The sequence below is a fragment of the Homo sapiens genome, chromosome 6 (assembly GCF_000001405.40).
Source record: "Homo sapiens chromosome 6, GRCh38.p14 Primary Assembly".
Classification (NCBI taxonomy): Eukaryota; Metazoa; Chordata; class Mammalia; order Primates; family Hominidae; genus Homo; species Homo sapiens.
In genome coordinates, this window is record NC_000006.12 from 14,584,243 (window position 1) to 14,608,907 (window position 24,665).

Genomic DNA, 24,665 nt, shown 5'->3' on the forward strand with positions numbered 1-24,665 from the left:
TTTGAAGGCCTAATTCAAAGAGAAACCCATACATATCTAGGCTTTCTGTAGCTGAAAGCAATTAGCCACATAGCAATTGTAAAGAAACCTAAAGGGAGCATTTGGTTCACAAGTGGAAAAAAGATTGAAAATGTATCTCACCACAGGTGACAAAATTTAGGTAATAACAGTAGTAATACCAGAAGTTCAATACGATTTATTTTATATTTTAATGTTGCTTTATGAACCTAAAAGCCTTGGTAGGCAAATATTGTGTGAATTTCCTGAGACTGGAAAGCAAAAACCTTCGTCACCCTAATGATAAGTAAAAACGAGTAAGCAGTCTTGATATCCACACAGAAACACTATAACAGTGAGCCTTCAAGTGAAATTATTAAATACACGAACACAATGGGTGTCTGGGGCCCCACAGGTCCATCTTGTGGACACTGCTGGATTACCTACTGTTACAAGACTGTACTCCACTCAGAAAAAATGTTTGACCATAGATTGTAATGTTTACACATGCACGTAAAACATGAATGCAAATTTTTTTAAAGCATGCAATTAAAAAATAAATAGAAATTGGCTGGGTGCAGTGGCTCACGCCTGTAATCTCAACACTTTGGGAGGCCGATCGCGAGGTCAGGAATTTGAGACCAGCCTGGCCAACATAGTGAAACCCTGTCTCTACTAAAAATACAAAAAAATTAGCCAGGCGTGGTGGCAGACACCTGTAATCCCAGCTACTCGGGAGGCTGAGGCAGGAGAATCGCTTGAACCCGGGAGGCGGAGGTTGCAGTGAGCCGAGATCGCGCCATTGCTCTCCAGCCCAGGCAACGGTATGAGACTCTGTCTCTGAATGAATGAATAAATAAATAAATAAATAAATAAATAGAAATTATATATTTTTTCCTTCCCATACCACTTGTGAAACTCACTTTGGAGATTACTGTCTTAAACAAAATTTCCCTTCAGCTATTCTGTTACACTGTGCAGTAGACATGGCTGGCCAGAAGAGTTGGGACAGAGGGCTAGGAAAGGTGGATTCTCCCCTGAGTCTATTTGTACTTAAATCCACATAAGAACTGAGGAGCTCATGGAGGAAAAGGTGGATTGAACTCTAATACCCCTTGGGTTTCTAGGATATAGAAGCATGCCTAATGAATGAGAGAGAGAATTCCCAGGAAAGGGTGGAAGTTTTAAGGAGGATGGATGCTGTGGTGAGAGTATGTTGAGTTGATAGAGCCAGATTACACTGGGTCCAGGCAGTAAAGCTGGGTGAGAATATCCTTCCTCTTACCATGGAGATATCTCATGGATGGATTAACAAAGACCTACTGCAAGTGAGTGGAGGTTGCTGCTTGATGGGAACCCCATCCCTGAAGATCTATTAGGGTTTGAGCTGGAAGACCAAAGCTCAGCCATGCCAGGGTTAAGAGGCAAGTCATAACATAGAAAGCCTGAGAATCTCCACTCCCAAGCACCCAACACTGGAGCTTGTCTGTCACCTGCAAGGGTGACTGACGCTGAGGCTAGAGATGCCTAGTTCCTCTGTGTCAGAGAGAGGAGGAGCCTGTTTTCATGGAAAATGGTACCTCCAGCAGTACCAGCAATGTTCTCACTACAGAGTGAACCCTGCAGAAATTTCCAGCATGGGACTACTGTGTGGTCCTGGCTTAGCCAGCAGTGAAGTCATAAATGACCACAACTGATTTCTGGACACATGTTAATATCCCTAGGGATTCATGGAAAAAAATTGAGAAAAGAATCCTGGATGCAGTTTAGTTTTCTGCAGCCAGCAAGAGTATTTTTATAACCATGGTTTCATTTGTATGAGTGGGCAAGTGAGACTGAGACATTCCTATTACACACCTTAGATTGTCCTGCTGGAGCCACTAAGTGAAGCTGGAGAGGTTTAATACAAAACTGAGATAACAGAGTCATTGGAAAAATTACTTCTGTCTTAATTCAAGAGGAAAAGAAAAATATATAAACCTATTAAAATAATTTAGAGTCTTTGAAGCAAAGCAAAAAAGAAATTATACTATTAAAAAAATAGAGCAATGGGGTCTGGCCATCTCAGCAGATACCCTACTACATGACAAAATAAATAATGTAGTGGCAGTTAGTGCAATAGCTTCCATTTTAGAATATTTCAAAAATATCTGTGGGAAAAATAAACAATCCCATGCCTTCAGTGGAAGAGCTGAACCAAGTGTGGAAGCCAAGTAATCAGTTCCCAGCACAGAGGTGTCCACACACCCATTCTTCTCTCCCTGCTGAAATCTCACTAAAATATCAGCAAGATATAAAAAGCGGCTCAAGCCTACACGGCCAAAGAGACTTTGAGAGATGACAGTACACAATTGATATCAACAAAAGCTGAGAGCTGGAAGAGAGGTGAATTGCGGCTGAGTTAGCAGACCAGGGAGTGTTGAAATTTAAACCTGCCCCAGACAAAGCCACAAATACAAGATCTTGTTCCTTGAAGATTCCTGGAAAAACCCAGGTGTTTGGGTTACAGATCACACAGGAGGCCAGGATAACAGGAGAACTGGTAGAAAGATGTTGATGTGAGTCGGTTAAATGGGAGAATAAACAACAACAACAACAACAACAAAGACATGGGATCCTGGAAACAGAGAGTCTAAAACAGAAGAGAGAGAGAAAAAAATCAGGATGGTAGTGAAGAGAAACCACAAGAAAACACCTATGCTGCACCCCAAAAAGGCAAAACCCAAATTGGAGAAGAAAGACAGAGAGCTCTTGAGGAATGATGCCAAGAAAAGAGAGATGGAACTAAAAGAATAGTTGGCATGTTTAGGAATTAAGATTGTCAGCTGTATCAGATGGTTTAAGGATGAATTAATAATAGATACATGTAAAACACAAGCAAATAGAAAAAAAGAGGCAAATATTAGGTCCAAAGAAAATAAAAAGTTGTATAGAAAAGAAATATAATCATGACTCCCTATAACATGCACTATAATATCATGTAGTGAGCACTATTTACATAGCTGTGGCAGGCAGCTTAACGGCCTCTGTATTAGTCTGTTTTTGCATTGCTATAAAGAAATACCTGGGCCAGGCGCAGTGGCTCACGACTGTAATCCCAGCACGTTGGGAGGCCGAGGCGGGCAGATCACCTGAGGTCAGGAGTTCGAGACCAGCCTGGCCAACATGGTGGAACCCTGTCTCTACTAAAAATACAAAAATTAGCCGGGTGTGGTGGTAGGTGCCTGTAATCCCAGCTACTCAGGAGGCTGAGGCAGGAGAATCGCTTGAGCCCCGGAGGCGGAGGTTGCAATGAGCCAAGATCGCGCCATCACGCTCCAGCCTGGGGGACAAGACTGAGACTTCGAAAAAAAAAAAAAATCCTGGTAACTACCTAGGTAACTTATAAAGAAAAGAGGATTAGTTGGCTCATGGTTCTACAGGCTGTACAAACATGGTGCCAGCAACTGCTCAGTTTCTAGTGAGGCCTAAGGAAGCTTACAATCAATGGTGAGAGGTGAAGGGGGAGCAGGTGTATGACATGGCAAAAACGAGCAAGAGAGAGTGCAGGAAGAATTGGGCTCATTAAGCATCTAGCTCTCATATAAGCTAACTGAGCAAGAACTCACTCATCACCAAGGGGATGGGGCTAAGCTATTCGTGAGGAATACATTGCCATAATCCAACCTCCAACATTGTGAATCACGTTTCAACATGAAATTGTGAGAGGACAAACATCCAAACCATATCATTCCACCCCTGGCCCCCCAAATCCCATGTCCTTCTCACATTTCAAAAGACAATCATGCCTTCACAATAGTCCCCCAAAGTCTTAACCCGTTTCAGCATTAACTCAAAAGTTTCAAGTCTGAAGTCTCAATTGGAGATAAGTTCCTTCTACCTATGAGCCTGTGAGTTCAAAAACAAGTCATTTACTCCCAAGATATAATGATGGTGCAGGGAATGGGTATCATTCCCATTCCAAAAGGGGAAAATTGGCCAAAAGAAAGGGACAATAAGCCCCACACAAGTCTGAAACCCAACAGGGCAGTCATTAAATCTTAAAGCTCCAAAACCATCTCTTTTGACTCCATGTCCTGCAACCTGGTGCAAGAGGTAGGCTCTGCCCCTAGGGCATTCCAGGCTGCAGCCCCCTGTAGCTGCGCTCATGGGTTGGAGTCTGGCGCCTATGGCTCTTCCACACTGAGGTGGAAGCTCCCAGCTCTTTGATTCAGTAAGAAGAGTATTAAGAGAAAGTGTGCTGAGATGAAGAACAGGGGTTCTTAGATGGATGTCCTCTGGGAGGAGAGTCTGACAGCCCTTCAGAGCTGGATAATCCATCCAAAACAGGTAGTGAGGTCCATGAGACCAACAGAAACAGACAACTAATCAGGAGCTTGAAATAAGGGATAAGGTCTTTACGTTGAAAAGGAGATTGGCCAAGGAGAGAAGCAGGAGATGTCAGACCAAGCAACAGACTTTCTCCAGGAGCCTGGGGAAGATGCTCATGCAAGTGAAGCAGAGCTGGATGAGCTTAAAATATGGGCTACTTTAAGGAGAAGGACACTGGAGAAATACTTAACTGTTTTTACATACACTCATTGGACATATAACATAATGATGACAAATCTACAAAGCGACTCTTGTATTAATAGTATTGCATTAGTAGATTATCATTCGTACAATAGATGATGTTAATGCATGTCCTTGACTAAAGACCCTCTGCTAATCAGGCTACGGTAAGAAATTCCCATTCAAATTACAATAGCTATTATTATTATTTCACTCACTATAGTCTTGACATATTGTCTTAAAGTGGGCATGTATTTTAAGTTGTTGAAATTACAACAGTCTCAGGGTAGAAGTACTGTCTTCTGAATCAATGCCAGATTCCCATAAAATGCATCGCCAGCACCATAAGATTTTAGTATCCTATATGCGTTCTCCTCTAAGTTTGCCAAAATGATGATAATGATTATCATCATCTGCTCTCAATCGTGTATCTTTTCAGGGCAGCTTCTCTCATGAGAAGCTCATGGTGGTCTGCTGGGAACCGTTGCTCCAACCCTCTGCCCCACATCATGAAGAAATTGCTTAGCTGGAAAAAGAGCATAACAAAACGGAGGTTTCGAGGGCTTATCATTTCTGTTGGGTGGCCTCATCATTCACAACTGCCTGAGAAAGTGCAGACAAGAGAACAGGAAAAGGCCACCCATACTGAAGGGAGAGCAGATCTTGGGGCTGATATTTCTTACTTGCTTCACACGGCTCTTGGCTTTCTCTTGACGTGCTTTCAATCTCAGGTCATACTTTAGAGATGCCATTCCCTGCTCCCTTGCCTCATCAAATGCTGCCTTTCCTAGCCCAAGTATGATGTCTGATCTCTAAGCTTTGCCTCTCAGGTCTGGCTGCCCCTTCCCCAGGTCCTCTGATCCTACTTTCTCCTTTCTTGCTTCTTTGCAGTTGTGTTTCTCTGCTTTTCTGGCACCAAATCATCAAAGTACATTCAATGGTATAAGCACAGTAAGAACATTTGTACGTCTTCTTCTTGTACCTCCAGATCTATCTCTAAGAACATTTGTACACCCTCTTCTTGCACCTCCACATCTATCTGACTCCAGACAGCCTTTACTTTATTACTCAATACAGCATATCCTAGTATGCGATTTCCAAGCAGACATTCACCCAAGCAGACTGGCTCAACCCACTCTCCTATTTTTGTATTTGCCAACATCTACTAGATGGTTTTAAATAAAAATTACATTCCCCTGAAGGCCCTTCGATTCATGACAAGTATAAAAGTACAAATTTACCATCAGAGAATTACTTTCAGGGATAAAGACCCAAGTCAAGCCATAAACCATTTCTACATTGCTTGTGTAGACAATAAGCTCAGGCTTTTGGCCATAAACCCATCAACAAGAGAGGAGACAGAAGAACAGGGAATGGTTCCTGCCTTTGGGGACCTTAGTGAGTGTAGGGAAAGACCCAGAGAAAGAGCAGTGCATTGAACCAGCCAGAGTAACTCACTCTGGAAGTCTTTACAGAAGTCAAACACCTACTGGATACCCAGAGACTACATGTTGAGGCTGGGAAGAGGAGTCACATGAAGAAAATTATTCCTATGACCTCACTAAAGGAGAAATCAGAAAACAGTGGGAAGATTAAGCGAGTTCAACCTTCAGAAGTGGGCACAAGATCTTTGAGGCTTTCCTTCATGATTTCAGAAGGAATTTAAAACTACAAAGGATCCAGACAACATGGACTTTGTAAGATGCTGGACCATCTACTGCTTCTCATCATTGCCATTTTTGTGATGCTCTGTTTTCCCCTTGCGATTAGCAGTAAAAGCCTTAAAGACAAAAAGGTGTTTTGTGTTTGTCTTCAGAGGGTGTTAAGGAAACCAACCCCAAAGGACAGTGGCAGCTTCTGAGGGAGAGGGAAGTGTGTTGATTTCCTAGAGCCTGTTGCAGAAGGGGGAAAAAAAGACCTTGGGGATTGGAGTAGGAGTTTAGGAGAAGCCCCAGAGCTGCAACAGAAAATACATCACGGCATTCCTCCAAAATTGGCAACAGAACACGTGACTCTGCAACATGTCTTACACCATAGCACGAATAGTGCCACTTTCCCCTGGTTCTTGCAGCTCCTCCAGCAAGAAACTGCTTTTAGCTGGTGCACTTAAAGCCAGTTGGTGGCATAAAAACGCCACCGAGGCCCACTCTTCCCAGTCGTTGACTACATTCTGCTGGTAAAGTTAGAAAACTACCAAAATGTGCCTTAAACCCAAGAATACTTGGTGATCTGTCCAAGGCCAAAATAAACTCCTCACCTTCTTCTTCATTAAAAATTCACTGACTGTATATACTGAGGGTCCAGCTCAGTATACACACACACACACACACACACACACACACACACGGCTATTCTAATTGAGCAGTTGCATGGTATAATGGTTAGGAGCACTGGTTTTAGAACCAATCTGTCAGTATTCAAATCCTGCCTCTGCTACTTATTGGCTCTATGATGTTGGATTGGTTACTTAATCTCTCTGTAACTCAGTTTCCTCATCCATATAGTGGCGATAGGATTAGTGCCTTTCTCATGGGTTTGTTTTTCCAAGAAGAGGTACAGCTTCATCTGAGCTTGAGGAAGAGAAGAGCAGAAGAGAAAGAGAGAAAGACATGGTTCACTCTAGGCAGAGGATTCAGCCAAAGATACAGTAAAGCCAGGGGTAGAAAATTGAGAGACTCCTGGCCAGGCACGGTGGCTCACGCCTGTAATCCCAGCACTTTGGGAGGCCGAGGCAGGCAGATCACCTGAGGTCAGGAGATAGAGACCATCCTGGCTAACATGGTGAAACCCCGTCTCTACTAAAAATACAAAAAATTAGCTGGGCTTGGTGGCAGGTGCCTGTAGTCCCAGCTGCTCTGGAGGCTGAGACAGGAGAATGGCATGAACCCGGGAGGTGGAGCTTGCAGTGACCCGGGATCGCGCCACTGCACTCCAGGTTGGACGACACACACACACACAAAAAGAAAATTGACAGACTCCTTGTGGCATCTTGTGGCTTTTGTGATCCTCAATACTGACCACAGGAAGCACTGGCTGTGGAAATTACCTGCATCCCTAAAACTGGGCTTGAAGATTCCTTCTTTACAGGACCCAGTGTGGCTCACAAACTGAAGAGGAAAACTCACACACAGAAGAATGATGAACATCTTTGTGCTTGGAGTCCCATTACTCACCAAGTGCTCACTGAACACCCATGTGAGATGGCTAAATGCAGGACAATTAAAAGGGACAGTCTTGGTTCAAATCTTGTTCTGCCAAAGACTTAACCTCACTGTGCCAACTCTGTTCCCTTGGAGACTGTAATGGTTAATACTGAGCATCAACTTGATTGGATTGAAGGATGCGAAGTATTGTTCCTGGGTGTGTCTGTGAGGGTGTGACCAAAGGAGATTAACATTTGAGTCAGTGAAATGGGAGAGGCAGATCCACCCTCAATCTGAGTGGTTATCATCTAATCAGCTGCCAGCTTGGCTAGAATAAAGCAAGCAGAAGATGGAAGAGCAGACTTGCTGAGTCTTCTGGCCTTCACCTTTCTCCTGTGCTGGATGCTTCCTGCCTATGAACATTGGACTCCAAGTTCTTCAGTTTTTGGACTGTTGGACTTACACCAGTGGCTGGCCAGGGGCTCTCAGGCCTTTGGCCATAGACTGAAGGCTGCACTGTCGGTTTCCCTACTTTTGAGGTTTTGGGACTCGGACTGATCCACCACTGGCTTCTCAGCTTGCAGACAGTCTATCGTGGGACTTGACCTTGTGATCATGTGAGTAAATACTCCTTAATAAACTCCCCCTCATATATACATCTATCCTATTAGTTCCGTCCCTCTAGAGAACCTTGCCTAATACAGAGACCTACGTGATTCTGCTACAATACGATGCAGACCCAATGCTCAAACATATAGTTATTTATAGCTTCTCAAAGAAACTACACTCTCCTGCACTTTGCACTAGTGAGAGCTGTAGTGGAGCTGGAATTGGAATCCAGGTCCATCCGATGGCACAGTCTGTGGTCTTACACACCATGTTACAGTGCTGAGTGCATCACAGATGGTCAATGCATCCATCTCAACTCATCACACTTTCTTCCCTAAAACCTGGGAATGTGTCTCCTACACTCCCCGAACTCCAGTCTGCACCAGCAAATTGCAGGCCAGTTTCCCAAAGGACCAGAAACTGCTCCCAACATCTCGAGGAGAGGCTGGTAATTGTGTACAGAAACTCTATTGCTCTCACACACACAATTATCCAGTTTTCACATGCAAATATCAATCTGTACATGGGTTTCTCTGGTAAATGTCAACTTCATGGGTGCAATCCAGGTGCCCACATTTGAGAATGTGGCATAGAGAGGGACACTCAAGCTCTGAGTCAGTTATGGACTGGGATCGTTATTATAATTAGTCCCAATGGATATGTCTGTCATTCAGTAACAATGGTGGATGATTCGGCCTCATTCCCTCATCTCTCTACCCCCCCTTTCCCCACTCACCCCTTTTATAAGAAAAGTCAGCCATGTCTTGCTTAACTGTCCTCCCCACCCCCACCCCGTCTTTAAGATGAAAAGCCCAGATGTGGGTGACCCATCTGTAGTGTGTGTCACGTTTTTAGCATCTTCTTTATTTAGAGCTGGGAGAAAGGGACTCATTAGAGAGAGGAAGTCCACAATGAAATTAGGAAACATTTGATCAGACCATTGTCCCAACACAATATGTGCAATGAGGGAAACGTTGGTGTTGGCTGCAAACCCTGAATGTGTGTTTCAGCCTCAATGGCTTGCTCATCACTGACTTCCCCAGTGCTGACCAGAAAAGGGAGCCTGACAGCTCCATAGGTAGAAGCCGAGCTTCTGGAAGTGGGGAGTGTCAGTAGGGTAGGAAATTTCTCTTTCCTCTTATAGTTTCACTCTGCAGTGGAAGCAGGACTTCGAAGTCAATGGCAATTAGGACACCCTGGACCTTCTCCAGCCTCAGTCCTTCCTTGTTGCCTCAGCAGAAGCCTCTACACTGACCTGGTGGTGAGGAATGTCTTCTCCCAAAGCATCTAGCCCTGGGAAGCAGGTCTTTCTCTCAGCTTCCTGCTGCATGAAGGGCAGAGGTTTGCTACCAGGAACCAATGCCAAGGGCTCAATGCATGAAAACCACTCTTGGCCTTCAGTTCTGTTTCTGGTAACTCAACTCTTTTATGAAGTAGAGCAGAGGTCAGAAATATATAGGTTCCCAAACACAGGCACTGATGGTGCATTTCGAGCTCTGGAGAAACCACTTGGCTACAAGGACGTCCAATTATATCTTTAAATATGTGATCTGCATTGCATCAAAATCAGCCCAATAAATATTATACCAGCAGAAATTAAGCCTCCAAAGCCCAGGCTGGAGCCCTGATTTAAGAAAGAAAAGGCGGATTTTACAGAATAAAGATGCAACTCTAGCCCTGGCTTGGTTATTGGCTCTCGGCAATTAGAACATTTAGCCTCACTTGTAACAGAATTCAGAGTTCTCTTACCTTTCAGAAAGCTGTTGTGGAAGTATAATACAAGGACAGTTCTTAAAGAAATCTGGAAAACTAAAGCATCATATGAAAGTAAAGTGTGAGTTTTATTGCTGTCAGGCCTCACAGCAAATCCTCTGCCATTTGTTGGGTTAGAATTCATTCCCCATCTGGTATTAAATGCATTGTCTCTTCATCTTCTTAAGTGGCATAAGAGATTTGCCATTCTCAAAAGACATGGAAAATCCATTTCTTGGCCCAAGTTACAGAGCACAGTTAGGATTGAGCTCATGAACTCAAATAGAAGCAGTTGACTAAACAGTTTAATCCAATTCAGCATTAATGGATACCAGCTTAGCATCTGGCACATAATAGGTACTCACTATGTACTAGCCGAATTAATTAACTAATTTAAAAGTACATAAAGAAAAATCCTATTAAAAATGAAGCCAAAATTACTTATCAAATACTTAATGTCAATGAATACCTCGTATGTACACACCTCTGGTTTTTAATTTTTACCTAATACATAAATTGAGTCAGAATTCCCTTATTCATAAGTCAGTTATCCAGCACCTTTCTCTGTGTAGAATGTTGGTTAGCAAGCAATTAACAAATAAAGATCATGGTACTATTTAATCTTATTTCACTCACAATTCCAACAAGTTTATCTCCCAAACATCAATTAAAAGAAGAGAGAGGAGATAATATACAGAAGCATGAAGAAATTAGTGAAAGTGACAATGGAAAATATAGAAACCAAATGATGTGTCAGGAAAATTGGAAACACACATGTAAGAATTATGAGTCTGGGGTAAATAACCCCATAGATCTCCATAAGCCTTGGGGACATCATTGTATTGAGTTACTTTGAAAATGTAGTATTCAAATCCAAGGTTTTTTTAATTATTGCATTAGTCATGATAACACTGAAAATAACTTAACCTTTTCTTAATAACTCACCATACTTTGTTTAAAAGGCAGAAAATGTCTGTGATATATTTTAGTGGATCCATGTGTTAAACATAGAGGCTGCATGAGGGATAGTTATAAAAGTATCTTTATTTTCATTTTCTGCTATCCCTTTAAACCTGTTCTGTGGAAGTAATGATTTCACTGCCTCTTAGTGAAAATTCAAGAACTCTTCATGAGTTTTCTAATTCTCATAGGCAAAGTCTTATAAGTCATGAGCCAGGTACGAGTTCCTTGCGCCTTTGGCCTACAGAGGTCTTTTATCAACTCTAAGCAGTCTGGTGTGGAGGCTGTTCCCTTATTTGCGGTGGGGGGATTGCTTTTCTAACATTCAAATGCCTCACTCTAACATCCCCCTTCTTAACCTCAGCCTAGGTGAGGAATGTTGGAGGAGAGGCACAGAAGCTGTGCGGTTTCAGGAGAGTTTCTTTCAAAATTTCCGACTTGATGTCCTGTCTCTCACCTCACTTTGCTATCTGACATCTCTTATATCTTGTTGCCTCAGTCAGTCCAAACTCCTAATTTAACACTGGATTACATTAGAAACTTTCCACCTAGAATAACGTAAATTGGGAAAGGGAGTTAGATTTTTAATGGGATAACCATTCAACATGCATAGTTACTCATTCACCAAGGGGTTTTTGATGGCTTAAAAAAAAAACACCTATATTTGGAAACATCTGGATTTTTGAGAAGATGTTTCCAATTTAAATCCAGATGTTTGTGATCTTGTAAGTAGCCAAAAGTTGGAAAAGTAAATTACAGTACAGTAGAAGAGCCCTGTTTTTGCTATTATTATTTAGATGTAATCTGACTGCATATGAAATTATATATCGGAATTCTAGATCTAAGTCTAGAGTTGGACACTGAACTTCTCTGTACCTGAAGAAAGCTCCTTATGCCTCTGAATTCATTTTCTTCATAACCAATAAAGAGATTTATGTTCTGTATTCTGAGAATCCAATAATATAGGTAGCTATTGCAATTGTGAAAAATGTTTTGTTCTGAATACCAACAATAGAAAAGTGCAATTTATACCAAAGAACTTATGTTGGTTTTGCAACATGTTAAAAAATTATTTGATACTCCTCCTTTCAAAAAGTAGAGTCTAATTCTTCTTCCTTTAAGTATGGGCTGTACTTAGTAACTTGCTTCTAGCAAACAGAATATAGAAGAAGGCATGGTATTTGACCTCATGATTAAGACATAAAAGGCATTGAGGCTTCTTCCTTATTCTTTCTTAGATCAGTCCCTGTGGGAGACGCCGGTTGCCATGTTGCGAAGATACTCAAGCAATCCTATGGAGAGGTACACATTGTGAAACACCGAGGCCTCCTGCCAATAGCCAGCATGGAGCTGGGGTTTCCTGCTAACCACTAAACAAGAGTGACTCATCTTGGGGGCAGGCTCTTCAGCCCCAGTTAAACCTTCAGATGATCAAAACCCCTGTTAATAGCATGGCTGAAAACTCATAAGAGATTCCAAACAAGAACCACTCAGCTGAACCTCTTTTATGTACCTGACCCACAAAAACCACACACTGACAAAGGTCTGTTGTTTTAACTAAGTATTAGAGTAATCTGTTGTGCAACAATAGATAATTAATACAGAGTTGGTCAGATTTTCTAATCTGTCTATTATGAGAATCAGCAATACTCATGAAACCAGTGATAAACGCACACACACACACACCTACTCACTTTTTTTAATTGAAAGAATAACATTTTCAGATTTTGCCATTGAAGTTCTACTTTAGAAACAATGCCTGAATCTGACCCTTTTAAATAAATAACTTGTCAAAGGTGCTGCTTATATGCAACAAATTCATGTGCTAACTAAAATTATTTTAAATGGGTGGTATAAGCACAGATTTGCATTACTCTACACTGTGCTATGTACATGACTGTCACTAATAAACTTCTTGACACTGCATCTAAAGTTACTTCTAGATGCTTCTTGCATTGGCTCCTTTTTATAAGGACATCAATTTCCTTTTTGTTTGGGATCTTACGTTCAAAAAGGGAAGTAGACGCATGTTTATTATGAAGAGGAAACCTATCTTTTGTGAGAGTGAAATTTAAAAAATCACACTGAGGACGTTAAATAATGCTTGTGCAGCAAAGATCATAATGACAGCATGCATCTGTGGAGAGTTTACAAGCACACATACTTACTTAAGCCTCCTAGCAGTCCTATAAAGTAGGCATTATTTTTCCCATTTTAAACAGGCAAAAACGATTAATGTGAGAATTGTCCAGGACTTACCACCACTTCCAGACCACCAAAGGTAATCCTCTCAGTGCAAGCCCAAATTCTCCTTTTTCTTTTCTCCTAACGATGTAGAATCCTTTCTGGAAAGGGACACAGGTTGAAATGCTAAGGTAGGCAAGTTGGAGTATAATAAAGTCTCATCAACTACAGTTAGGAGGGTGTTAAGGAGAGAGAGAGATATGAAAGCAACAGTGGGGTATGAGGGAAGAGAAATTTAATGTGTTCTATGGGCGATTTATTTGCATCTCCTTTAATTTCATTTGTGAGATGTGAGAAATTAATAGAATCTGTTTTAATTATTTTTGCCTGTTGAACTGTGCTTTTTCAACATATGACTTTAAAGCTTTTGGATTTTAAGGTGGCACATTTGAGAATGTTAAGGTTCAGAAAGTAGAAATGAGCTTCCCAAGAATCCAGATTTTCTAACTGAAGTGTTTTTTCCACTTTGTCCCTTAGCCTCCTTGTTCATCTATTCATGCAACAAATAGTAACTGGTCACATAATGGACTCAGGGCCTTATCCTAGGCCTTGAGAAAATAACTTAGCTTAAAGGTACAAAAACTCTCATTTCGAAACTTAGCAAAAGAATTACAGACCTGAATTCAGTCACCTTTGGGTCAGATTATTCCCATGCTTGGGATAAACAACTGGGTGGGCTCTTTAATTACCCAAATGCAAAGCAAACACCCACCGTTATTCAGAGCCAAAGCTGTGAAGTGACAGTAATGCTGTTTTAGAATGAGAACAAAAGCCTTCTCGAATTGTAAATTTTTACCTGTGGTTGAGCCAAAGCTTTTGGTAATTTTTTGTTGTTGTTGTTGTTGTCATCCTGCTTATCTTTCTAGAGAATGTGTGGCAAGACTATGCCTTTTCTCTATGTAGATCTAGGGTACCCTGTACCAGTAAACCTTTGTTTCTCTTGAAGAGAGACAGACATTCAGGAGTCATCCTAACTTTAGGATAAAAGGAGAACTGTAAACAGGGCTCTTTGTGGTTCAGGCTGTACTAGGATGTGGGTGTCCTGCACACTGTGTTATTTAAGAACAAATAAAATACCCCTTGGGAAATCTATTAATGTTAGAATACTGTGTTCTAATGTGCTTACCCTGTTGAGGTTATTTCCACTGTCTTGGATGGCGAAATGTGGACATGGGAAATAACCTCAGGCTGGGCTGAAGAGGAAACCAGTGAGCATTACTCTCCTTATTCAGGCTTCCTGCATTCCGCTTGACTACTCACCCCATCTTGAAATTCTCTCCCCTCTTGGGTTCTAAGTTGCTGCTGTTTTTTGGTTTTCCTCCTATATCGCTTGATGCTCTTGTTCAAACTTCTTTTCCAACCTTCATTCTCCACCCAAGTTCACTTCTCTCAGGACCTGGTTGTGGATCTTTCTCTCTTCTATAGCCTCACTCTCTCTCTGCTATCTTATCCATTGTCGGGGCTCTAAATACCATCTATATTTTGATGATGCCCAAATTTATATCTCTGGCCCTCAGTTTTTCCTTGAACTCAATACCTGCATGTCCAACTGCCTTCTTGGCATGGCCACTTGACTACCCAATAGGTCTCTCAAATTAAACACCAAAGAGGAACTCTTGATTTGTCCCAAACTCTATTCCTCCACCAATATTCCCCTTCTAAGGAAATGGTGCCTTTAACCACTCATTTGCTCAACTAAACGCTGGAAGTCAAATGAATTCCTTCCTTTTCTTCCTCATTCGTAACAGATCAGGAAGTTGCATTGGTTTTATCTCCAATACACATCCACTTCTTCTCGTCTCTGCTTCTAACACCATTGTATAAGCTACCATTATATTGCCTGGGCTGTTGCAATAGCCTATGGGTGTCTCTACTTATTATATTGGTGGATTACTCCACTATGTTTTCAGCAGTCGGAGTAAACTTTTAAATCAGTTTTATCAAATCATGGCCTCTTTTACTTAATATCTCCTGCTGCCTTAGGAATAAAAACCAAACTCCTCACCATGTCCACAAGCTTCTGCATAATCTAGTGCCCACCTCACTTCCCAAACTCGTTCCATTTCATCCCACTCTCCCCCACTCCTGCCATAATGTCTTCTTTTGGGTGAAGGAAAGCCACACCACCTTACCTCCGGTGCCAGAACAGTGATGGCAACACCATTCCAAGGGAAGTGGGTAGTCCTGGACCTGTTGGGAGACAGCAGCAGGAACTCAATGTGGATTCTGAGGAAGGAGAGGTGGGGAGGTGGAGGGGGGTCCCCAGCACAGGCTTAACCTCAACCGAGCTCCATGAACATGAGACGCCATGAGATGCTCCAAGAGCAGTAGAGAGGCCAGTCGACACCAGGGGCTGATTGAGGCTGCTACCAATGACATGGGGCTCCTACCCATTACAATCTGCAGTATTAATGGAAATGTGACCTCATCACTGGGTGACAAGTACCTAAGACATACCAGTGCTTTTCACCAATGAATTCAAGAGCCTCTACCCTCAAGGACTTTCCAGTATAATAAAAGAGGCAGACAGATAAATAATTACAATACAGTATGAGAAGTGCTCTCACAAAAATAGCTGCTAAGAGGAAAGATGGCACAAAGGTATCGTAGAGTAATACTCACTAGAAGGTGGCACTAAGCAGACAGGGCTATGGAGGATTCTTCCCCTGTGGCTGAAAGCATGAACCCATTTGGGTTTCTCCCAGGAAAATTTCCAGGTGATCAAATTTTAGATTTTAGTATTTTCAGAAAAATTAAGACTAGTACTATGGGTAGAGAAATGAAGGAGACCATCTTTACCAGATGGTGCTTTTGACTTCAGAGTGCCATGAACGTGTTAAAGTTCTAAATTTCTTTTCAAGAATCATTATGTCAGTATGTTCAATTCTTTGCCTTCTACTTTTAAACTTAACTTCCTCATAAAGCAACCTTTTTCGATTACCTGCTCCACCCTGACTCATTCTGATTACCTGCTGTGTCATAACCGTTTTTCCCGCCAAACCACTCACCCCGTCACTCTCTTTAAATTAGTCAATCGGAATTAGTTTAGCCTGTGTGGTCTAACCCTAGCCAATAGGGGAACGACACAGAAGCAGAGGTCAATTGCATCAGGGATAAGAAACCCTTCCTCTCCTTTATCCAAGTGTGTGCTCACCATTGCTCCATCTGTAAGAGCGCACCCTTCTATAGAAGTAACTTGCCTTGCTGAGAATTAAAAAGAAAATTTTATATTCAAGTGCTATTTCTTTTGTAGCACCGAAACTTTATTTATAACAAAAGCATGAGTTTGCAGTTGTTACCACAGAAAATAAAAATCCACGTAAGTCGAGGTATATTATCTTTGTGTTTATTTTTTAGTGTTATGCCAATATTATTAATATTATTACTTTTGTGGGGGAGGAGTATATTTTGCATTACAATCCCTGAAAAACAAGGAGCCACCAAAGGGAGTAGTGGAGGCGTCTTCATCACATAGTGTAAATGCCATCCTTTGAGTGTAGCAGGAAGGTGGGCACAGATGATCAGAGAAGCGCTCCAGAAGACAAGAGATGTCGGCAAACTTTGTTTTCCTTTTTCTTCTCTCTGGTCCAAATGATGTATTGGATTCCTATGCCTATTTTCCCCTTCTGGGAAAGTTAAAAAGAAAAACTTCTTCTGGATATCTGTGGCTCTTCCCCCTCAGAAAAGCCAAACAGGCTTGAGGAGCTAAAACGTGGTGCTTTTCCTGATGCCTTTGGAAGGTCACTTCTGGACCTACCTCCAGAAACCGCTCTACCCTTTTCCAAAGCTGCCTTAACGGGGCGGCTTTTCCAGTATCCAGGTGGGTTCATCATCTCCGTACACCAACCACTTGCTAATGATAAGGAGCACAATTAGATTAGTTTTGTGGAGGCAAGAATCGATATCCCGGTGTATGTGGAGCCTATTAGACATTGCTAATTAGAGCTCTCAGACATTAATCAAATACCACGTATGGGGCTAATCAGCCAATTCGGGCAGTATAAAAATCTATAATGTCCCAAGTCTCTCCTTGAATGTTCCAACCTGGTTCACCTTGAAACCTGACCTGAAGACAGAAATCCCTGCCGGAGGTCTGCAACAACTGGGCTAGGAGGCTGTGCCGTTTCACAGCTCCTGAGCCTTCTGGAGCAGGAGGCCGACGTGATGTCATCAGGCTCCTTCTTAAACAAACACAGGCTCCATCCTGCAGCCTTGACACCCTTTTCATTGACTCTGTGGCAGCTGTGGCTCTGTGCCAGCTGCAGGCTGGACCCAGAGAGGCAGACCAGCACCCCAGGCCTGAACGATAAATAAAACTAAATGCTAACTAATATATTATTCATGTAATAGCCCAATTGCCCATCATGCTACGTACTTGTATTCATACAATTATTCCTGTGTGTTTAAATAATGAATGTTAGGTTTGTGTTTACTAACACAAATCACTGATTAATCTGTATTCAAGTCAAACACTGCCTTATAGGAACACTTTGAAATACTGTACTAGATCAGTGTTCGCCTACTAAATTTAGGGATAGTTGCTATAATGTTAATTCTATAGCATGTGATTGAGTTCTTTAATTTGACAAAATCTATTGGATAAACTGAGCTTGAATAAAGAGTCTGTTGATAATGCCGGGCAAATCCAGATGTGATTTAAGATTTATGGAACGTGTTAGAAATATTTTCAAACACCTATGTCCTTAATTCCTGATTCCTTAATGCTTCTGAATGTTACCTTGTAAAAACCTATTTTTTTTTGCCCAATAAGCTCTTTCGAGGTCCCCATAATCTCCTTTAAAAAGATATTTTGCTAAAAGCCACAACATGTGTTCGTGCTATCATTATAATTTTCCTTCAGAAATAGTAAGCTTTCAATGAATTCCATTCCCAGAAGTTCATATGAGAGTTGAGATTCACAGCCTCCAAGAACTGGTCAGTTTTTAGGCTCTAAAGAAGCATGTTCTTCCAACCACTGTTAGCAGTGAAACAGAAATGCAGTTCCTAAGATTGAATTATAGGATACTGAACAGTACTGGAGGAAAGAGTCACATAATATAGGAAAAATAAGCATGGGATCAAATCTTGACTTGAATCCTGATTCACAACATCCTAGTTGTATGATTTGGATGCGTGTTTAATATCTCTGAGCCTCCAAGATGAGGACAGTAATGCCAAAGGTCATAGGTGGTTCTGAAATTGATAGGAGGTAATACATATGAGAGCACTTGGGAGAATGTCTCTCTGCAACCACACAGCCAGTAGATGCTGGTTCTCTTGGCCTCTTCCCTTAATTCTGATTTTATATATTATGATGTTCTAGAAAGCAGGAACTGCATCTTCTGCATCTTTGTACCCTCGGCACCTGGCACTTTGGGGGCACAGAGTTTATTCAATAGCTCATAATTGAGCCACAATGAATCAACAGAAAAGTCACTGAGAAGATATTTTTGGGGACATGTAAATGTTTCTTTACCTTCCTTCCCAAAAGTCAATATCGGATAGAATCTCCAAGAAAGTAATTTCCAGAAATCAGAGGAATAGTTCAGAGGAGCCAGAGCATATTTCTTGATATGGTTTTGATTTGTGTCCCCACCCAAATCTCACGTCTAAGTGTAAATCCCCATTGTTGGAAGAGGGGACTGGTGGGAGGTGATTGGATAATGGGGGCAAATTTCCCCCTTGCTGTTCTCATGATAGTAGTGAGTTCTCAGGAGAACTTGTTGTTTAAAAGTATGTAGCATCTCCCCCTTCTCTCTCTTCCTCCTGCTCCAGCCATGTAGGACGTGCTGGCTTCCCCTTTGCCTTCTGCCATGATTATAAGTTTCCTGAGGCCTCCCCAGCCATGCTTCTTGTACAGCCTACAGAACCATGAGCCAATTAAACCTCTTTTCTTTATAAATTACCCAACCTCAGGTATTTCTTGATAGCAGTGCAAGGACAGACAAGTACATCTCTCCTATAATTTCTGGCTTTGAAGAGTGTGGTTATTGAAAAAAATTTATCTCTTGTACTTCTTCCTTTCAAAATTTTGGGGATATCCATGCATGGAAAATGTAAGGCAGGGAAGAGAACATAAATATGACAGGTTTCCCAAATATTTATTCTAAGAACTAAAAGCTATGGGTAGACCATTGGGGAAAATACAAAAGTGGAGTATGGAACACAGATGTTGGAAGAAGGGCACAGCTTACAAACCTTTTAAGCAAGGGATGTTATTAATATCTGATATGATTCTCAAGATACACATATCAAGTGGGAAGCACTTCAGTTAGATTCCTTGAGTTTGGATCAGAAATACACCACGAGCTTCTGCTTAATTCAAGTCTGAAGAGGACTAATAAAAGTGCCATGTCCCTGCAAAGCATCTTCGCCACCAAAAGGCAGTGTACCCATAAAAAGGGCCAGCAGTGAACTATCAGAAGCTTACCTAAGGCTAGGTGTGGTGGCTCATGCCTGTAATCCGAGAACCTTGGGAGGCCAAGGCAGGTGGATCATCTGAGGTCGGGAGTTCAAGAACAGACTGGCTAACATGGTGAAGCCCTGTCTCTACTAAAAATACAAAAATAGCTGGGCATGGTGGCGAGCACCTGTAATTCCAGCTACTTGGGAAGCTGAGACAGGGGAATCGCTTGAACTCGGGAGGCAGAGGTTGCAGTGAGCCCAGGTCTCACAACTGCACTCCAGCCTGGTCAACAAGAGTAAAACTCTGTGTCAAACAAACAAACAAAAAAAGAAGCTTACGTAAGAGACTGGCCTTAGAACAGGGGCATAAAATACAATTGAGACCATGTCTTTCTAATTAAAAACAGTATTTTTACTTCTTAAAACAAGCAATTTCAGTACAACATAATTTTTTAAATTGGCTTCTAACATTTATAGTGTCTGCAAGTCATAATGATTTGAAATCAAATTCCAAATCAAATTTGAAAAACTTTACAAAATTTAGATGATATGTCAATTATTTATCATGGTATTATTTAGCATTTTCCTATCCCCAACCAAACCCCACTGTGACACTTCTTTGCATGCAAATTGGCAAGAAAGACGGCCCACCACAAAGCGTTCGCCTGCCAACTTCTACATTACTGATGGTCTCAAATGAATTGTCATTTTTTCACAATGATTCTTAATTTAGTTAATGATAAGTCTTTATATTAAATTTGAATAACTGTATCATCTCTTTCCATGTGTGGAATTATCAGGAATTAACTCTCAATTCTGAAAATACTAGGAGACCCCCGATAAGCTATGGCCTCTTCCAGAAATTCTAGAGTGGTAGAAATGTTACCAAGCCACGTCAGAGACGACCTGGCAGCTAAGCCCTTGCTACAGTGGTTGTTCCCACATTATTCAAATGGATATGGGCTCTGCAAGTCACTTTGTGTTCCAGAAGAAAAACAACAGATGCTGATGCACAGGAAGCAGAAATGGTTGAATTTTTCCATAAAATCTAAACCTCTGAATTCATGGTTTTATTCTGAAACACCTTGTCCAGTGTTGTCCCTGTCATGACTCTCTCTTCATTAGACTCCATCATCCCAAGCCAATTCATATATACGACCCAAATTTCCTGTAATGAGGGACTGCTGATACACAAACACTGCACAGCTGTGTTAAGTCTCAAGTTATTGAATTAGGTTGGCATAACTTTAAATATTAAATAAGCTTCCCAGCCCCTAGTTATTGTCACTCACTACGGGAGACACATGTCATCTTATCTGCCCAACATCATTTCTCCTTGTCTGAGAACAGCACCTCTTTTTCCTTTGGATAATTATCCGTCAATCCTTGTATTGCTGGGGTACCTAAGGAGAAAATGGCCCCCCAAGAACGGCCAGCAGAGATCTTCCCTAAATTTTATATGTGGACACTGAGAGGAAGGTAATCTTTTTCTCTGAGCATCACTATCTGGCTTTATGAAGCCTGGAGTTCTCTCCCCCTACCCAACCTTGGCCATCTGAAGGTCAGCCAAAAAGATCAGTCGAGGATGAGACCTAATGACATCATCTAAATCCCTGGATCCAGCCATGTCTGAAGCCAACTCAAGCTCTAGACTTGAAAATTACATAGGCCAATACTAGAACTTTTGTAATTTAAACACAAAATTTCTAACACATGCTTATGTTTTAGTCGACAGATCCACCTTTAGTCTCCTTTAAATTGTTACTCAACACTTTGCCCACCCACAAAGCTGAGTTGAAAATGTTATTCCTACATACCTAAATCCCTACAGAATATAGATCTTTTCTTCTCTTGGAAACATATCCACCCAATTTTATTTCATGATAAAAGTGTTTTCCTCACCTATTTAGCTGCCATTTGCAGGGATCAAACCCCTTAGAATGCTCTTGTGAACTTTTCTTTTCATTAAGGCACTGGGTCCTTGCTTCTCTCCCCTGGTCTAAATGTACTGTCTGGATTTTCCCTTCCATTCCTCACTCTGCTGTTCTTATTTTCTGTCTTTGCTGCCTTTTCTTTTAAGGTATTCCTCGAGCAGGGGTAATTAACCCATTTATGCTGGAGGTTGCAAATTTTTTGTGTGAAAAATCAGACCTCGGCAATGACCTTGAGCAGTAGGATATAAATGACTCCCACACGCTTAGCGTTCCACTAATGGAACACTAGGCATAAATGAGTTAATGAGATGCACAGATTGTCCATTAATGGGCTTCAGGGATGTCTCAACGTCTCTTGAAATTATATGCAAGTTTTACATGAAAATCCATGTGTATGTATATTAGCTATCAATAGCTGTGTAACGAATCACCCTATAATTTAGCAGCTTAAAACAATCAACGTTTATTATTTCACAGTTTCTGCGGGCCAGAAATCCAGGTGTGGCTCCCCTGATGCCTCTGCCTCTTACAAGGAGCAATCAAGGTGTCCGTCAGGGACTTGTGTCACATCCGAAAGCTCTGCTGAAGGAAAACCCAGTGTTGAGCTCCTTCGTGCAGCTGCTGGCAGGATTCAGTTTCTCAAAGGTTGTTAGCTGGGGACCTACTGGTTCCTTGCCACATGTGCGTCTCCCTAGGCAGCTCACAGTGTGGCAGCTGGCTTTCCCCAGAAGGAGCCAAGAAACAAGACAGATGCCACAGTCCTTTTGTAATGGAATCTCAGCAGGGACATCCCATCTCTTTTGCTGTATTCTATTGATCAGAAGCCATTACTAGGCCCCACCCACACTCAAGGGAAGGAGATGACACGGAGGTATGAATCTCAGGAGGCAGGGCCCACTATAGAGGCTGTCTACCCAAATACATTTTGAAAAGGAAGAGGACCCATATCTTTTATCGTATCGTTAAACTTCTGAATCAACATTTGTATTATTTGTTCCTGTCTCAACCATCAGTTTCACCCAAAAAGTCTTCTAGGTATATTTTCACAAAACAGGTCACTAGATACCGCTCTGTGACTGAAGCTAGAGTTAACTTTCCCCTTCACACAGTCACTATATATATATGATGAAAAGATCCTATGCTATCACATGCCCCCATCAAACACACACACACACACACACACTCGCAAATCTTAGACCATGGTCACCTAATGAGAAATGGAGTGTTCTGACCAACAGGACAAGAATCTGTCTTGTAGAACATTGTTTCTCATAATTTTTGGTTTCAGGGCCCCCTTTACACTCTTAAAAATCATCAAAGACCTTCAAAGACTTATTTTTATGTAGGCTATATCTATTGATGTATCTGTGTTAAAAATAAAAACTGAAGAATGTTTAAAATATTTATATTTTTTAAAAATAACAACCTCATTATATACTAACACAAACATTTTCATGCAAAATAAAAACTTTTTTTAAAAACAAAGAAATTAGCAACAGTGGCAGTGTTTTACATTTTTAGAAATCTCTAATGTCTGGCTTAATAGAAGACAGCTGGATTCTCATATCTGTTTCTGCACCCAAACTTTATAAGATGTTGTTTTGGTGGAATTAGATGAAGAAAATCTGGCCTCATACAGTCACATAGACGTATCACTGTGAAAAGCAGAAGTATTTTAAAAGCCTTTTCCTGTAATTGTATATTTTTTTGATGCTACACCAAAACTTGGTGTAGTTATAGTTTCTTAAAACTTATAAAATGTGGAATCTGAAACCATCAACAATGACTTTTCTTTTTACATTCTACTACATTAAATTTCACTGGTCTATCTTACATTTTAAATGGATCATTTGCTGATGTGTGATTTTGTAACATCATGCATTGGCCATTTGAAGAAAAGAAATAATTCACTGAAATTCTAAAATCTTCCAAATGTTGGCATATTTTGTTACAAACTATCAAGAAATCACATTTGCAAATATTACAACCAATCTCATCATGCGTCTTTATGTAGTGGAAAATAGTCAAGTTCAAGGTGGAGAATACAAGTTTTCCAAAATCCTAATTTTCACTTGAAAGCCTAAATTTTATCATTGGCTATAAATAGTCAATATTTTTCTTGAAGTAACAGGCCCATTACGTTCATTTTGGAGAACATATCAGCAAAACACCCAAGTCAAAATAACTATAGTTTGTCTGCCAGTTGTTCTTTCAAATAAAAACAGTGTTCCATGAACAAAAGTGGGTAGTTCAACTCAAAATGAGTCTTTGCGGCTGGGTGTGGTGGTGCACATCTATAGTCCAAGAGATATTCTGGAGGCTGAGGTAAGAGGATCACTTCAGCCCACGAGTTCGGGGCTGCAGTAAGCTATGATTGTGCCACTGCATTTCAGCCTAGGCAACAAAGTGAGACCTCATCTCTAATAAATAAATAAGCAAACACACACACACACACACACACACACAACGAGTGAGTGTCATCCTTGAAACAATCATCGTATACTGGTACACAGCAGAATGTTTATTTATATTTCCCATTTGATTACACAGAATATGACAAAGAGTAAAGTGTTGAGATTTTATAAAGATTACACAGAATATGACAAACAGTAAACTGTTGAGATTTTATAAAGTTAATCAGTTGTACTGCTTTATCAAGGTCATTTATAGGGAACCCTGGCTTTTCACTTCTCTGGAGTGTAGTGAAGTATACAATGACCACTCGCACAGCCCAGGGCCACTGCCTGGACTCATCCTAAGATGCCGGCATTTTACCCCCCATTGCTTTTGCATCAGCAGTGCAAATGTCAACAACATACTGGGAAAACAGCAAGTAACATCTTAATAATAGTATTACGAAAATAGTTTAACTTCATGGACTCATTGAAAGTGGGTCGTAGAGACTCCTGGGGGAAGTATAATCAGTTATAAACTCTTACATATATATATAAATTCTAACACTCGTTATACTGAGGAGGCAGGATTTGATATACTATTTACTCATTTTGCTTATGAAGACTTGATCGGAGAACACAGTCCTCTAATAAAACGTTCTGATTTAATGAGCATG

At 41.1% G+C, this 24,665-nt stretch overlaps 1 long non-coding RNA gene across 4 annotated transcripts in view; it reads right to left on the bottom strand.

Annotated features, from left to right (window-relative positions):
* Positions 1-2,061: 2,061 nt before the first annotated feature.
* LOC101928354 (uncharacterized) overlaps positions 2,062-24,665 on the bottom strand; it is a 131,186-nt gene continuing 108,582 nt past the window's right edge. For all 4 annotated transcript variants that reach the window (XR_241980.4, XR_001743992.2, XR_007059472.1 and 1 more), the window contains 2 exons: positions 15,389-15,446; positions 2,062-13,357 (listed from right to left, as the gene is read on the bottom strand). This is a non-coding gene — a long non-coding RNA (uncharacterized LOC101928354). The remainder of the gene's footprint in view (positions 13,358-15,388; positions 15,447-24,665) is intronic.